This window comes from Homo sapiens, chromosome 22 (assembly GCF_000001405.40).
Source record: "Homo sapiens chromosome 22, GRCh38.p14 Primary Assembly".
NCBI lineage: Eukaryota > Metazoa > Chordata > Mammalia > Primates > Hominidae > Homo > Homo sapiens.
Window position 1 is genome coordinate 45786728 of NC_000022.11, and position 17550 is coordinate 45804277.

Genomic DNA, 17550 nt, shown 5'->3' on the forward strand with positions numbered 1-17550 from the left:
AAGAACATTTTTTACCTATCAAAAAAGCAACTTTAAAAATCTGCAGCATCAGTAATTAAAAGGGAAGCACGGACAGTTCTAGGGGTGGTATGAATTGGGAGAACCCTCCTGGGAGGCATTTTAACAGTATGTCTCAAAGACACTCAAAGATGGTTTTGTTTTGTTTTTGTCCAGTAATTCTTTTCGGAATTTCTCCAAAGGAAATAATCAGTGATGAGGTTAAAAAAAATTGTCTATATGGATGCTCATTGCATTGTTGGTGAAAATTTAGTCATGATGCAAATGTCCTGAAATGTTCAGTAAATTATGGTAGGTTATAGTGACTGAATAGAATATACTATTAGAAAATCACATTTTCAAATAATTTTTATTGTATGGAAAGATCTAAAATACTGTATATATAAAGATGATCTTCATTTTTTAACAAATTAAGTATAAGTATTTAATATATGTGCATTGAAAAACACAGAGAATTTTCATGGATAGGATCTGTCCCCATCTCAGGGTTGGGGCTTGGCTCCTGAAAGAAGGGTCAGACCCTAGAGTGTTCAGCTGGGCTGCAGTGAGATTTGAGGGTGACGATCCTCTAGCTGAAATGGACTCTAATTCTCATTGACTCCAAAACTGGAGTTCGGACCTTTTTCCGTCTACCGCTGTGTCTTGATCTGCCTCCTGGCCCCTTTTCCCTCAAGGCACTAGGGAGACAGGAGGGCCCAGGAAATGCCGAGTGCCCTGGCAGTTTCCTTCCCACCTTCTAGCCTCCAGTTCCCAAGCCTGGCATTTGCTTCTTTTGACCTTCGGTACTCAGTAGACTTACTGTATGGGAAGGAATGCTGTCCAGTCGTCTTGAGTTGAACGTTCTCATCAATACTTTGGTGGCTCTTCCCATATCCCAGCTTTGGACAGAATAGTCAGTTGGAATTAAAATAATTTAATTCAGTTTAGTGAGGTCTATATGTTTGTCTGTGTGTTATTCCTGTATAATTTTAACAGAACACAGTAGGACATTTGCATATTTCACAGCCCGCAGTTTGGAAATACATTTCTGAAAGAAGTTACCCTGAAAAACAATCAGCGGGCAAATAATTTGATGATCACTGTAACTTTTAAAGAAAATCTTGTGCAATTTCAGTTACTGATGATCTTTTTCCAGGAACAAAAATATTCATATCATTTACAAATTAATCTATCAGGAATGAGTGTTTACATTTGCCTACAATATTTAGTGTGGGATTACTCAAATCTTTTGGTTGAGTAATACTTGGTGCTGATCCCAAGGTTATACAAGGAGCACCAGGATTTCTCTCCTGAGACCTTTATGTCCTGAGCCCTTTGCTGTCTCCATCTACCCGCTTTAGGAGATTTCCAGTGCCCAAGATTTAAGGGCCATTTGTATGCAGATGACAGCAGAATGCCTGTTGAGCCCAGACATGTCCCTGGGGCTCCACACTAGGGGACATAACTGCTCACATTTTCAATGTATAAGAGATGGATAATATATAACTGGTAATGTTTACTTAGGTGTCTCGTCTCTAAGTGCCTCCCGCGAAATATGCCCAAACTGTGCCCTTGAGTCCCGCATCCCCAGATCTTTTCTTTGCCCTCCCAGTAAATGATCCCACCACACATCCATTTCAACCAGACTCTTAGAATCTTCCAGTTGTTTCTTTCTCTTACCACAGTCCTAGAGAGCAGTTAGTGTCTGATCTACCTTTACCATGTATCTCGTATCCACCTGCATCTTTCTGTCCCCACTGCTGTCGCAGGCTTCAGGCCTGCATCACCTTTCATTCAGCGTCTGCAGCAGCTTCCTCACTGGGCTTCTTCGTGCCGCTCTTGCTCCTTCTCACACAAATCTAAAATTTTTTTCCTGATTTCCAAGACTTTATATTCCACCCTTCTGTGAATCTGAGTCACCTAGGGAGCTTTTAGTTCATTAGTTAATGAAAGACAGGGTCTCCCTCTGCTGCCCAGGCTGCAGTGCAGTGGCACAGTCAAAGCTCCCTGGAACTTTGAACTCCTGAGCGATCCTCCCACCTCAGCCTCCCTGGTAGCTGGGACTACAGGCTCACACACCACACCCAGCTAATTTTTAATTTTTTGTAGAGATGAGGTCTCGCCGTGTTGTTCAGACTGGTCTCGAATTTGTGACCTCAAATGATCCTCCCACCTCACCCTCCGAAAGCACTAGGATTACAGGCATGAGCCACCATGCCCAGCCAGGAGCTTTTAAACTATGTATCTGTGCCAGGACCGTCACCCCCAAGATACAGATTAAGTTGGCATGAGGTGGGGCCAAGACATGGGTAGTTTTAAAAGCTCCCCAGGAGATGCAGATTGACAGTAAGGATGGAAAGTCACTGCTCTGTATCAGTGCTTCTTCAGACTGTATCAGCACATCTTCATGAGCTGAAAGGCTCACCTGACCACCCCTCTAAAACAGTCTTTGGCCACTCTCAATCTCTAGTAGATCATCTTAATTATTTATTTTATAGGAATTACCATAATTTGTAAATGTATTTTTAGTTATTAATTTACTCACCTGCCTCCCCCTGGCTAAGTTTCATTCAGTACGTATCTGTTGGTTATATTTGGACCCTGCAAGGGTGGAAGGTGAGCTTTTGCTTCTCACGCGCATATATTTTTTTTCCGCAAATCATTGTTAAGTATCTCGGGACCGGGCAAGGGATGCAAGGATGAGTGGAAACATGGCTCTTGTCATTGAAAGCCCCAGAGTCTAATGAAAGAGTGAGACAAGCAAACAAATAGCTGCTCTGTATACCATGGACGCTATACAGCTCAACTCAAAGAGGGATTCAATTGTCACCGCCCTGGGAAGGCGCCAGTGAAGGGCCTGGAAAAGTTAGGGGTTAGTATGTTAATACAGCTCTCTCCACGACAAGAAGAAGAGAGGGAGAGCCTTCTAACCCATCCAGCCCCTTTGTGGTGGTGGTGGTGGTGCACTGATGTGTTGGGCTTTAGCTTTGGCCGTTAGGGATGTAGGAGTGTGTCCTTCCTTTGGAGAGAAGCTCAGTTTGTCAGGATTGTCCTGCTCCCACCTTCATGAGGCTGCTTTGCCAACTACACTCCTTTTTTTCCTCTTGGACCGCTGGTGAGGAGTGGATATTTTACCCCCAGAAGACTCTTAAGTGGGTCAGAACAACACATGAATCTAATTAACTGCAAAATCACTTTGACCTCAAGGTGGAAAATTCATTCCATATTAAGATACTCCAATGAAAGGCCTACATTCATTGTAATAATAGAATGCCCATAAGAGACACTCCATATTTGAATATTAATTCTATCTCATTATCAGATTTCCAGAGAGATATTAAAATCCAAAGATAACATTGCATTTTAAATTAAAGTCCAAAGGCATTAAAGTCCAATTCTCTTGCCCATGTGTGTTCAAATAAATTGAAATTCAAAATATATTCTCCCTGATTTCTTATTCTGCACAATCCCAGTTAGAGGGGCTCTTAATGCCTGTATAGGGTCAGGATTTTTTTGTAACAGCTGCAGTCTGGACTGTCTCTTGCCGGAATGTGTGTGGTTCTTTCAGGAACACCCAATACCAAACCTCTGATATGCCTCACTTCTTAAAATTAAAAAAGTTAACAGGACACGAGATTATCAAAACATTGCCCCCCCGCCGCCCCACACATACACCAGAGTTAGAAAACAAGCCAATTCCTGGTCTTCTAATAGTTACCCCAAGCAAAAGTATGTCTCCAGAAACCAATACTTCTTACTTGTTGCCAACTAGCAGACCATAGCAGAAAGTCTGTGATATCTGAGGGAAAGATGGAGAAAGTCTTCATTTCTGCTTCAGCAGATTTCAGTTAGTCTCTGACAGTTGGGGGGCTACACATTTGGGAGCAATCTCCTCAGTAATTTCTTGGATCTTGCTGTCAGTAATTCCAGTGAGTCAAGACCATGCCTTGCTTCTCTCATGGGTTTTGTAGGACCCAATCACAGTTTCTGTTCAAATAGCCACTGAAACATCTACTCTTTTCTACACTTCACTGTAAGTGTGTTAGAACACAGTGCGTTTTCATTCCTCTTTATATCTTTTTATCCTGACCTTCTAGATCTTATTTCCCATTTCATTTATTTTTATTGTTTATTTTTCAAGACAGAGCCTCTCTCTCCCTCTCTCTGTCGCCCAATCTGCAGTGCAGTGGCACAGACATAGCTTACTGTACTCTCGAACTCCTGGGCTCAACCCATCTTCATGCCTCAGCCTCCCCAGTAGCTGGGACTACAGTTACACACTGTCACACCCAGCTAATTTTTTAAAAAATTATTTGTTGAGATGGGGTCTCTCTATGTTGCCCAGGCTGGTCTCAAACTCCTGGCCTCAAGCCAGCCTCCCTCTTTGGCCTCCCAAAGTGCTCTTACTCCAAAAAACATTACTGTTTTCCAGCTAAATCAGCCTTATTGCTTTAGTTTGTTTTTATTCTTTTGTTGTTTCTGTTCTGATAGTAAGACTGAAATACTTTTTACATCATTCTAGTTCCTCTTTGATTTTCTGAACATCCTTGATTTCTAGAGATAGAACATTTTAAACAAAGACCTTTTAAAATTATAGTATTTTATTGAATTTATTTTTCTATATCAGTGCCAGGAGACAGTATCCTTGTGTTTTTTTTCTGGTCTTAGCATCTATGTAAACTTTCCTTTACCTATGACATTTACTATGGGTTTCTGACACATAGCCTTTTTGAAGTTAAAAAAGTTCTCTAGTTTTCTGATAATCAAAAAAAATCATAAATAGGGGCTAAGCATGGTCGGGTACTTTTTCTGTGATGGTTGATATTATTATGAGTACATTAATGAGGTTCATTGTAGATTTTCTGATCCACTTGAATCTATTCTTGCATTTTTGAGAAAAGTCTGCCTGAACATGATGTATTATTGTAGCATCTTTGATTTAGTTATGCTAATATTATTTCTAGAATATTTTAGGGGAAGGGGATCTATTTTCATAAGTTAAAAAGGCCTTTAATTTCTTTACAGTGGTCTGTCTTTCCTGGTTTTGGAACAAAGTCATACTAGCCTTGTAAAATGAGTTGGAAATCTTTCCTTATTTTTCTGTTGTTTTGGAACAACTTGTATACAAAATACATGTTCTGTTTCTTGAAAATTGGGTGGAACTCGCTTGAGAGCTATTTGCGTCTTTGTGTTTGTTAGTGAGTCTTGGTCATTTTAGTATCTTTAAAAATTTTTGTTCTTTTAATATTTTTTCTTATTTTCTTCCCAGGCACAGTTTATTTTGGAATTCAGATAAGAACTGACACTTATAAGCATTCCAAATGTTAATAAACATTTTTTCTTCAAGGCAATTACCTTTTCTTAAGCTCAATCTTAGCACTATCCTTTGCAAAAACAAAAATTTTAAAAAAGTCTAAATAGATTAAAATAGAAGTCAATTCTACCCTTCTCATAGAAATTATTCTGAAAGAATTAGAAGATTCAATGATATAAATTAGATTAAGAGGAGGTAGACTTAAATTTAGTACCTAAAATATAATTATATTTCACTAAATAAGACCGTTATTCTTCTAAAGAGGTCCTCTAAGCTGGCTTTTATTCTGCTGTAGTTTCATCTCACTAAGAGGGAGGACAGTAAATCAACTGGTCTTACCAAAAAGTTTCCACTTTTTAGTAGTGAGCTCTCTAGCTTCAGATAACTTAGAAGTTTATCTTTTCCCCCTTGGTAACCACTTTTTCTCCACCGTTCTTGTAGTTGTTGTAATAGAGCCCTGGTTTCTTTTCCCCCAAGAAATGTCCCCTTTTCTGGTGTCATGCCCACTGAACAGGAACTGTAGGAAGGGACCACAGCTGCCTTTCCTTTAGGGGATGGTGCTCTCCTTGGCTCTTCAGTAGTTCACGTATGTGAGAAGTCACGGCAAGTTCCCTAAAGTCCCTGAGAAAGTCTTGGTAGGGTTTCAGTGGCTCTGAACTATCTATTGCTTTAATTCAGTCTTTTTTATTTTTAACTATAAACAAGCCAAGGTTTTTCTCTTCTTTTGAAATCGTCAACCTCCAATCCAATTTTGTGACATCATTCTGTACTTTGAATAATGAGGCCAAAAGAGTCATTGGCTTTGGTGAAAAACCTTCGACATTTTTACTGACTTTGTTAAATTCTTCTAAACTTGCATTGGCTGTTATACCTACATAGGGAGCCACATGAAGATCATAGATAAGGTGAATCAAATGATTTACATGTTTACTGACAAGAGCTTTTTTAGTTCCACCCAAATGCTTTCTCCTAATAGCCCAGCCAGGCCTTTTGCAGGCTCTGCAGTTGCTTCTCAGGACCGTGGTCACCAGGTTTGTCTACAGTTCTCCCACAAAACCTGACATATCTTAAAATTCAAAAACAATTGTATTGTACTCTGTTGATGTCCAACAGACTTTTCTTATTTTAAAAAATCTCCATAACCATTAAATTAGATAAAGTACCATCAAAACCCAAAGACATAGAATTGTTTGCTAGAGAGCTTTGTGTTCAGCATCTCCTAGTCAGTTGTGAATTTGTCCTCAGCATGTCTTCCATCAGTGACAACATCAGTCCAGAGTGTAGTAATTTAAAAATTGTCTTCACGAAGCCTGGCAGTAATTGTTCTGTGCTTTTCTGCTGTCCATCATCCAAATACCAGCTGACGGAAACATCTACTGCATTTCAATAAGGGTAACAATGGTAGCAGAGTCCACATCTTGAGGTCTTATTCCATTTAATAAATCTCTCACTGCTCCTTCTGCTATTCTGAATTCACGATTCTCTTTAACAAATAATTCTGTCAAGCTCTTCAATCTTTCTGTGACAAATGACTAGAATTCTGGAGCCTGCACCTTCATTTTAGGCAGCTATTGCTTCAGAAGTCACAGTCTGTTCCACCAGCCTTTGCCAAGGATGCAGGTGCCACAGCATCTCAAGAGAAGTCACCAATCACACAGCTCCATGCTGAGGCCCTCTTGCCTGCTACTGAGGAGCTCTTGCCACCCCCGATTCCTGCCTTTCCCCAGTGATGCAGGACAGGTAAGCCCCCAAATTGGGACTTAGCCTGGGAAGGTTCTTGGCTTTGCCCGGGAAATAATTCAAGGGTGAGCTGGTGGTGGTAAACAGCAACTTTGATTGAAGCAGCAGTGTATAGCAGCAGCAGAGGTGCTGCTCCTTGCAGAGCAGGGCTGCCCTATAGGCAGTGTGCCCAGAATAGCAGCTCAGAGACAGGTCTGCACTCATATTTATACCCACTTTTAACTATATGCGAATTAAGGGGCAGTTTATGCAGAAATTTCTAGGAAAAGGGTGGCAACTCTTAAGTCATCAGGTTGTTGCTGTGGAAAGGGGCGGTAACTTCTGGGTGTTGCCATGGCAATGGTAAACTGACATGACATATTGGTGGGTATGTCTTATAGAAAATGGCTTCCACCCCTGACCTACCTGTTTTAGTTAGTCCTCAATTTGGTCAGGTGTCTGAGCCCTGCCTCCTACCTCTCCAGGACATGGGCAGTAGCCTGGCTGGGCACTTTAAAAAGGACAGTTGTATCCAAGCCTTTGATTTTTTTCTGTCAATTTTAACATTTTCTGTCTCAGAAATATCTATTTCATCTAGATTTTCACATTTTTTTCATAAAATTGTTCATATTTTAATATTTTATCTAGGTTGTCTAAAACCTGTTTCTCCCTTTTAATTCTATTCTTTCTTAAAAAAAAAAAAAGGATGTCTCTTTTTTCCTTCCTCAGTCTTTCTGGAATTTTCCATTCTATTAATGTTTACAAATAACCAGCTTTTGGTTTTGGCTAATCTTCTCTGTAGTGTTGTTGTTCTAATTCACTGACTTTCTTGCCTGTCAGTTTATAAGAACAAAGATAAAAATGATAACAGGCTTTCCTTCAGAAATGATGCAAGACAGGAATCAATGGAATGACATCTTAAAAATACTAAAGGAAAACTGTTAATCTAGAATTATGTATCCAGCCAAAATATCCTTCAAAAATGAAGGTCAAAAAAAAGAAGGTAAAATGTCCTGTAAGAAATGTTAAATGAAGTTCAACAAGGTGAAAGTAAATGATAGCACATGGAAACCTGACCTATACAAATATATACAAAGGATCAGAATCCCTGGAAAAGTTAAATATATGGGTAAAAAGAAAAGATTTCTATTCTCACTTTTAATTTTCTTTGAAATGTAATTGGCTCTTTAAAGTAATCATAATGGCAGTATATTAGGGGATTTTTAATGTGTATATAGAAGAAAAATATATGAGAGTAATTGCCCAAAGATTAAACAGAGTATACAGTTACAACATTCTTATATTGTATGTGGGGTAGTATGGTATTATTTGTAGATAGACTGCAACAAGGTAAAGATGTATACTCTAAACTCCAGTGCAACCACTTTTAGAAAAAGAGAGAGACAGTTAACAAGCCAGTATTGGAGAAATAAGTGGAATATTTAAAAATGCTCAGTCTCAAAAGAGTCTGGAAAATAAGAACAAAGAATAGTGAAGACAAATAGAAAACAGATGGCAGAATGATAAACTCAATCATGTTGATAAATATATTAAATGTAAATGGCTTAAATATCCAACTAAAAGACTACTAGAATGGATTCTATTCTATTCTATTCTATTCTATTCTATTCTATTCTATTCTATTCTATTCTATTCTATTCTATTCTTTTTGAGATGAAGTCTCTCTATGTTGCCCAGGCTGGAGTGCAGTGGCGCGATCTCAGCTCACTGCAACCTCTGCCTACCAGGTTCAAGCAATTCTCCTGCCTCAGCCTCCCAAGTAGCTGAGATTACAGGTTCACCACCACACCCAGCTAATTTTTGTATTTTTAGTAGAGACGGTGTTTCGGGAAGTCAGGGACCCTGAACGGAGGGACTGGCTGAAGCCATGGCAGAAGAACATAAATTGTTAAGATTTCATGGACATTTATTAGTTCCCCAAATTAATACTTTTATAATGTCTTACACCTGTCTTTACTGCAGTCTCTGAACATAAATTGTGAAGATTTCATGGACATTTATCACTTCCCTAATCAACACTCTTATAATTTCCTATGCCTGTCTTGTCTTTAATATCTTAATCTCGTCATCTTCATAAGCTGAGGATGTATGTCACCTCAGGATCCCGTGATGATCACGTTATCTGCACAAATTGTTTGTAAAGCATGTGTGTTTGAACAATATGAAATTTGGGCACCTTGAAAAAGAACTGGGTAACAGCGATTTTCAAGGAACAAGGGAGATAACCATAAGGCCTGACTGCCTGCAGGGCCGGGCAGAACAGAGTCATATTTCTCTTCTTTCAGAAAGTGACTAGGAGAAATATCGCTGAATTCTTTTCTCAGCAAGGAATAACCCTGGGAAACGAATGCATTCCCAGGGGGAGGTCTCTAAAATGGCCGCTCAGGGAGTGTCTGTCTTATGCAGTTGTAGATAAGGGATGAAATACTCCCTGGTCTCCTGCAGCGCCCTCAGGCTTGCTAGGATTAGGAAATTCCAGCCTGGCGAATTCTAGTCAGACCGGTTGACTGCTCTCGAACCCTATTTCCTGTTAAGATGTTTATCAATGACAGTGTGTGCCCAGCAGGACATGGACCTTCATCAGTAATTCTAGTTTCGCCCTGGCCTTGTGATCTCACTCTGCCTCTCTGCCCTTGTGATATTTCATTGCCTTTGAAGCATGTGATCTCTGTGACCCACACCCTGTTTGTACACCCCTCCCCTTTTGAAACCCCTAATAAAAAGTTACTGCTTTTGTGGCTCAAGGGGCATCACGGAACCTGCCAACATGTGATATCGCTCCCAGAGACCCAGCTGTAAAATTTCTCTCCTTTGTACTCTTTCTCTTTATTTCTCAGACCGGCCGACACTTAAGGAAAATAGAAAAGAACCTACGTTGAAATATTGGGGGCTGGTTCCCCCGATAGATGGGGTTTCACCGTGTTGGTCAGACTGGTCTCGAACTCCTGACCTCAAATTATCCTCCCACCTTCCGCCTCCCAAAGCATTGAGATTACAGGCGTGAGCCACTGTGCCTGGCCTATACTGGATTTTGAAAGGCAAGACTCAATTATATGCTATGATAAGAAATATACTTTGAATATAAAGGTGAAGATACCTTAAGAGTGAAAGAATGATATACCATGTAAACACTTATAAGAAAGCTGGAGTGGCTATATTAATATTAGACAAAATAGACCTAAGGACAAAGAATTTCCCTAGATGTAAAAGAGTGATATTTCATAATGATTAAAGGGTCAGTTCATCAAGAAGACATAATAGCCTAAACATACATTGCTAATAGCAGAATTTCAAATAACTGAAACCAAAACTGACACCTGAAAGAAAAAATCGATCTGCAGTCATAATCGGAGATATCAGCGTTCTTATCTTTATAAATTACAGAACAAGCTGAAAGAAAAGCAGGAGGAATATGGAAAACTGGAATACCATCAGCCACCTTGATCAGGTGAAATTTAGTGAACACTGCACCAATAACAGCATGTATGTTCTTTCCAGTACACATAGAACATTCACCAAGACAGACCATATGCTGGGGCCATAACAGTGCTCAATAAATGTAGAAGAACTGAAAACATAGACTATATTCTGTCTCTACAGCAGAATTATAAGTTAAAACTATAAAATATCTCTAATATCCCAAGATATTTGAAAATTAAACAGTACACTTCTAAATAACCCACATGTCATAGACACAACCATATCGAAATTAGAAAATATTTTGAACTGAATAAAAATGAAAAATGGCATACCTAAATTGTAAGATGGGGATAAAGTAGTGTTTAGGAAATTTAAAATACATGAGAAAACAAGACAGATTTAAGATCAGTCATCTTAGTTTCCAACTTAAGAAGGTAATAAAACCAAGAGTAGATTAAACCAATGTAAGTAGAAGAAAAGAATTAACAAAGATAAGAATGGAAATCTTTGAAGTAGAAAATAAAATAGACATAGAGTGGAGAAAGTCCATGTAATCAGAAGCTGGATGCATATTTAAAAAGATTGATCAATCTTTCCAGATAAATCTGTCTACCTGTCAAGAAAATGACACAAAATATAAATGACCTCTATCAGCAGTGAAAGAGGAGACATCATTATAGATATTACAGACATTAAAAAGATAATAAGAGAATAGCATAAACAACTTGATGCCAAAAAATTTTGACAAAATAGATGATATGAACAGTTTTCTTGAAAGAAACAAAATAAAAACTGAATAAAGGATAAATATTTTTAAAAATTAAATGTGTAGTTTAAAATGTTTCTACAACAAAATCTCCAGGCACACATAGTTTCAGCAGTGAATTCTGTCAAGCATTTAAGAAGGAAAGCATATACCCAATCTTTCTCTTTCATAAAATAGAGGAGGGAACACTTCTCAACTTATTTTATGAAGCCACCATTACTCTGTTCCCAAATCCGGACAAAAACCTTAAAAGGGAACAAACAAAGTAACTACAGAGCAGTGTCTCTCATGGTCAGAAACATAAAAACACTTTTCAAAATATCAGCAAAGTGGATCTTGTAATACAGAAAGTGATAATGTATCATGAACCTATGATGGTTTATCTCAGCCGTGCACTGTTGGTTTGATGTTAGAAAAGCAGACACTTTAATTCTCCCATATTAACAGAATAAGAGGGAGGAAACAATATGATTATCTCAATAGAGGAAAAGCATTCGGAACAAAATTTACACTCATTCACGTCAAAATTTGCCACAAACTAACAGTATAAAGGAACTTTCTCATCCTGAAAAAGGCATCTATGAAAAAAAAATTCAACAGCTAGTTTCATACTTTATGATGAAACACTGCTCTCTCTCTGACATCAGGAACAAGGCAAGAATTTCTGCTCTCACCACTCCAGTAAACAACGTGCTGAAGGTCCAGAGCAACTCACTAAGCCAAGAAAAATCAGATGCATGCAGGTTGGAAAGAAGTAAAACTGGCTTTATTCATAAATGAGGTGATCGTGTGTGTTAAGGAACTGATAAAGTTATGAGAAGTGAATTTTGAATGGTTACAAGATATGTAAATGAAAATTAATTATATAAAACTAGCAAATAATAATAAGAAAAAATTTAAATGCCACATACAATAGCATCATAAAACATGAAATATTTAGGAATAAACTTTAACGAAATATGTGCAAGACCTATACTCTGAAAACCATAAAACATTGCTGAGAGAAGTTAAAATTTAACAGACAGCTCAATATTGTTAAGTGTTAGATCTCCCCAAGTTGACCTCTATAGAGTGAATGCTATACCAGTCAGAATGCCAGGAGACATTTGTGTTTTGTTTTTTGTTTTTCTTTTGAGACAGAGTTTCACTCTTGTTACTCAGGCTGGTGTGATCTCAGCTCACTGCAACCCCCGCCTCCCGGGTTCAAGAGATTCTCCTGCCTCAGCCTCCCGAGTAGTTGGGATTACAGGCGCCTGCCACCACGCCCGTCCCAGGAAACATTTTTTATAAAAATTGATGAGCTGGTTTTAAAATTTGAAAATGCAAAAGACCTAGAATAGCTGTTATGGGTTGAATTGTATCCCCCAAAATTCATATGTTGAATTGCTAAACCCCAATACCTTACAACGTGACCTTATTTGGAAACAGTGTCATTGCCAATGTAATTACTTAAGACGAGATCATACTGGAGGAGGATGGGCCCCTAATCCAGTATGAGTGGTGTCCTTATAAAAAGGGGAAATTGGGCACAGATGACACACAGAATGAGAATGTCATGTGAAAATACAGACAGAGATCTAAAAACCAAGGACACCAAAGTTTGCCAGCAAACTATCAGTAGCTAAAGAGAGACCTAGAACAAATTCTCCTTCATAGTCCTCAGAAAGAACCACCCTTGCCAACATCTTGATCTTGGACTTCTACCATCCAGAAGTGTAAAACAATAAATTCCTGTCTTTTATACCATTTGGTTTGTGGTACTTTGTTAAGGCAGCCCTACCAAACTAATACAATTGCCAAAACAATTTTGAAAACAAAACAAAGAGGATTATATTACTTCTTTCATGACTTACTATAAAGCTAATTAAGATAGTATGGTATTTATGTAAATATAGATGTATATACCAGTGGAACAGAATAGAGTCCAGACTCAGTGGAGAAAAGATATATTTTTCAACAATGGCACTGGAATGATTTTATATCCTTATGGAGTAAAAAAGAACCTAGACTCTTAATTTATACCAAACAAAAATTGATTTAAAATAGCCACATAAAAGCTGGGAATACAAAACTTGTAGAAGAAAACATTATGGATATATTGAAGTAGGCCAGGACTTTTTAGAATATAAAAAATACCATGAAAAAATGTTTTGGTAAATTGTATCTCATCTATATTAAAAAGTCAATGCTCTTTGAAACGTATTATTAAAAAATTGAAAAAACAAGCCATGGTATACGAGAAAATATTTGCAATACATATATCCGACACAGGACTTACTCATATGCAGAATATGTAAAGAACCTCTTACAACTCGATGAGAAGAAAACAACCCAGTTAATAAAATGAGCAAAATATTTGAATAACATTTCACTAACGAAACAGAAATGTCCCATAAGTACCTGAAGATACTTTACATTATTAGCCATCAGGGAAATGTAAATTAAGACCACAGTGTGATGCTGCCTAAAACGGCTGACAACATATCAAGTGTTGATAAGGATCTAGAGTAACTCCAATACATTGTAGGGGAGAATGTAAAATGGTACAACTACTTTGGAAAAATACTGTGGCAGTTCTTAATAAAGTTGAACATATACTTCATATGACCCAGCAATTTCATTCGTAGGTATCCACCCAAAAAATGAAAACATGCACCCATGAAAAGATACAGATGCATGTGTTCATAGCATCTCCATTCATTGCGGATAAAACTGGTATCAACCCAGTGGCCATCAACACATGAGTGGATAAATAAATGGTAGTATATTCATAATTAGAAATAAACAAAAATCAATGATACATGTAACAACGTGGATGAATCTCGAAAACATTGGAAAACACTTTTCATTAAACCCATTTGTGTTATAGAACGGACAAAATTTACCTGTAATGACAGAAACAGATGCCTAAGAGGAGATGGGGCAGGGGCGAGGTGAGCTGCAGTGATTGCAGAGCTGCGCAAGGAGCTTTTGGGGGTGATGGAAACATCCCATGTCTTGATTTGTTTGTGGCTGTGCAGATGCACTTGGCAGTTTCTGTAAATTATACCTCAATAAAATGCCTTTTAGAAGTAAAGAAAACGAAGCACCAAAGGGGATAGTGTGTGGAGGGCAGTGCGTTAGGTTTCAGGCGTTTCTTCTGAGCAGGTCTTACAGGTTGGCTTGGTGGGTGCTGTTTGGCTTTGGGGAGATCAGGCGTTTTCACCTTGGCTGTATGTTAGAGTCACCTGGAGAGTTTGTCTAAAACACTGATGCGCAGAAATGCAGATTCATTTGTTCTGGGGTTGGGACCACAGCACTGGCACTTTTTAAAACCTCCCCCAAGTGATTCTAAGTTGTAGCCTAGGCTGAGGAGCACTGGCCAGACTTTGGCTCTGAGTTTTCTCTCTAGAGAGTGTCTGCAATGCCCAAGCCACTTCTTTTTTACTTCTGCTTGAGTCACACCATATGTTGCTGCCCAGGCATTGTGGACAAAAGCAGCAGCTCAGGCCTGAAATGCCCACTGCTAAGTGGCACAAAACACCATGGAAACAAATGCAACACAAAGATCAATGGTACTATATTTTTGTGAGACTTAGAATTGCTGTGTAAGGCTAAAGCCAGCAAAAGAGTATGGATGGAAATTACAAATCCAGACATACACCCAGTTAATGAGACAGTCAAGAACAACATTACACTAACTTAGAATAACCCCATATCTACCAAATTTCTTATGATTGTAGAAGTAGATCTTTCCATATTCAAACTTTGCTGAAGGACAGCTAGTGGTTGGTGAAGGATTACCATATCCAGCTCTTTTCAAATGTGGATGGTAAAGGAAACCTTTAGAATCTCAGAGCCAAATGAAAATAATATTACAAATCATTGCCATTTCCTGTGGTCTCATGATGTGCTGGGCACCATGCTGGATGCTTTCCCATACAGTCCTCACTGTACACCTGGGAGGTGGGTATGGCCCTCTTGTTTCATGTAAGAAAATTTAGACTTAATGAAGTTCAGAAACCTCCCCAAGGTCACACAGCTAACAGGCTCTGTTTTCTGTCAACCTAGTAGGTTTTCCCAAAGGAGCTTGGTTATTAGAGTTGGGCCTGTACCCTTAGCGGAGTGCCTACTCTGGCATTATTGGCTAATGTGGGAAAGAACAGTTCCCAAATCTATTTGTTGTCCTCTGTTTACACTTCATTTCCAGAGGCTAAATGTTAATTTGTTTAAGCCAGGCTTATTGTCTCCTGGAGATGCACTACCACGGGAAAGTGTTGACTGAGCTTGGCTCCTCAGTGTGAACTGTAACTTGTGACTCATTAATTACGGGCCTACAATCAACTCCCAACATGTTAGTAAAGAAACAAACAACTTTCTTGTTTAATGAAGTGCTGACAGAAGAAAACTTAATTGTTTCTCTCCTGCCCCAACATTAGCTTGACACTTGTAGTTATAGCAGTAAACTTGGACTTTGTAAAAACAAAATTGTATCGTCAGTCACCCTTCCTGAAGGTGCTGTATTGGTGTCTGCTTTTCCCAGTGACCTTAACCTGTGTTCATTCTTAAGTATGTAATTGTGTATTTGTCATAATGCCGCTGTCATCCTTGTCCAGAATAGGTCATTTATGTTGTAAACGTTTAATGAACTTCTATAAATGGTTCCCTTGTATCCTTTCCTAATGCAGCTGTATGAATAAGAAATATTTATCCAGGAACGCATACCCTCAGTTGACACACAACTCCAGTGGAACCATGATTTTTAAGAACTCTTTAGTTCACCTTTATTGCCTGCTTAAATTTCAGTTTTTAATGTGTGATTTCATTTCCTTCAAAGAACATCTTACCCATTTAGCATATCTCAAGAGTTCTACTTTTTTTTTGTAGAAAGTGAGGTGTTTTCCATGCATTGAATAATAAATCCCGAATACTTTTATTTCTCACTAATCAAAAAAAACCTGGTTTTTGAAAATAAATTTGAAACTTTGCCTAATGCAGAGAAGAAGTGTAAATTCAGCCCTGTTGAAGTAATTATTCAGTTTCGTCATGCATTTAGGAGCTACTGCCCAACCCCTTGTTCCTAAATGAACTAATTGCATTTAACAGTGTGAATGTCACCAACTACTGCTATCACTCCCAGTGCTCTTTATTGAGTATTTACTGTGTGCTAAACACACTCACAGTTACTCTTTGAAGAAGGCACTATCATCCCCATTTTACAGAGGAGGAAACCAAGTCTTAGGGGTTTCTTGACTTGCCCAAGGCCAACAGATCTCATAGCCAGGCTTTGACCCCAGCAGCCTGGCTCCACAGTGGCCACTCTTAATCCCTATGCCGCACTGCCTCCCAGTTCCATGAGCTTCATGTTTCATCTTATCTTCCAGCTTTTGCACATACTCTTCCCCCTGCCCAAAACACTCCCACAGTCCCCTTTGCCTTATTTAATTCCTGTTCATTCTTCTCATCTTAAGCTAAATGCCACTTCTTTAGGGAGGCCTTCTCTTGTGAGCCCCATGCTATATGTTCTTCTAGCCAAACAAACTATGAGCGTGAAAACCAACCTCAATCTGGCGTGGAGATGCACCTATGTTCCAGAAGGGTTTGGATCACACATTTATGGAGAGCTGGTGAGGACGAGCTGGATTCTTTCCTCTCAGTGACACTTATAGGGCCCTTGCTTCTTTTCTGGATTTCTCCTTATCTTCATCCCAATATCGGTCAGCACAAGGCAAAGGCATTTGGCATCTCTTCTTTCCCATTTGCAGACTTTACTGTACGTACTTTACTTTACGTACAGGATGCGTACGTACCCCATCCTGCTGGTAGACGTGGGGCAGGTTATCAGAGGAGAAGTGGGGGTGTGAGGGCATCCTTGGGAAGCTTTGGATACAGTCTCAGGTGGGGTCATTACCAACTTGGCCATAAAACTCTCTCTGTGCTTCTCAAACACATGATCCCCCCTCCAAGACCCACTCTCTATAGTGGTCGAACCCTCCATGCCAGTGCTTCCTAAACTAGCTGTGGTGAAGAGCCACTTATCTTTCCCTCAAACCATCCTGGACCTACATTTGGATAGGATATAGTATAAAATGAATGACTAGAAAAATAAATCTAAAAAAAGGCATAAGAATTCAAGCCCAAATTTCATCGTAAGATTCAGCAGACACCGCATGGCTGTCATATTGTCGGCAGTTTCTCAGCTCCCTCCCTTCAGTGTCTGTTCCTACAAACTGACAGTGGTCTCCAGACCTCACCTTGAATAGCACTTATTAGGTCAGTGACCACAGGAAGGGGACTTCTGAGCCTCACTTTTTTATCTGTAAAAGGGAACCAA

At 39.0% G+C, this 17550-nt stretch overlaps 1 protein-coding gene and 1 pseudogene across 3 annotated transcripts in view, besides 5 other annotated features; one reads left to right on the forward strand and one right to left on the reverse strand.

The window, feature by feature from the left end:
* The window catches only part of ATXN10 (ataxin 10), a 173474-nt gene that overhangs the window by 114894 nt on the left and 41030 nt on the right, over window positions 1-17550 (forward strand). The gene's annotated exons all lie outside the window — the stretch shown is intronic.
* TRNT1P2 (TRNT1 pseudogene 2) lies at window positions 5256-6970 on the reverse strand (annotated as a pseudogene).
* Window positions 7927-8836: an origin of replication, noted in NCBI's record as "STS-E to STS-F replication initiation zone; region encompassed by primer sets P5 and P6; peak of nascent strand synthesis in cell lines with an increased copy number of (ATTCT)n repeats; determined by quantitative PCR of size-fractionated nascent strands". NCBI's record gives the evidence for it as "EXISTENCE:fractionation evidence [ECO:0000100][PMID:17846122]".
* Window positions 8580-8717: a replication regulatory region, noted in NCBI's record as "alleles with increased copy number of (ATTCT)n repeats can rescue DNA unwinding element (DUE) deletion in ectopic context of MYC replication region, as determined by quantitative PCR of size-fractionated nascent strands". NCBI's record gives the evidence for it as "EXISTENCE:fractionation evidence [ECO:0000100][PMID:17846122]".
* Window positions 8628-8697: a microsatellite, noted in NCBI's record as "n=14; non-pathogenic allele; does not promote DNA replication".
* Window positions 8628-8697: a tandem repeat, named in NCBI's record as "ataxin 10 repeat instability region".
* Window positions 8628-8697: a repeat instability region, noted in NCBI's record as "repeat instability region; expansion of the (ATTCT)n pentanucleotide repeat is associated with spinocerebellar ataxia type 10". NCBI's record gives the evidence for it as "EXISTENCE:polymerase chain reaction evidence [ECO:0000082][PMID:11017075]".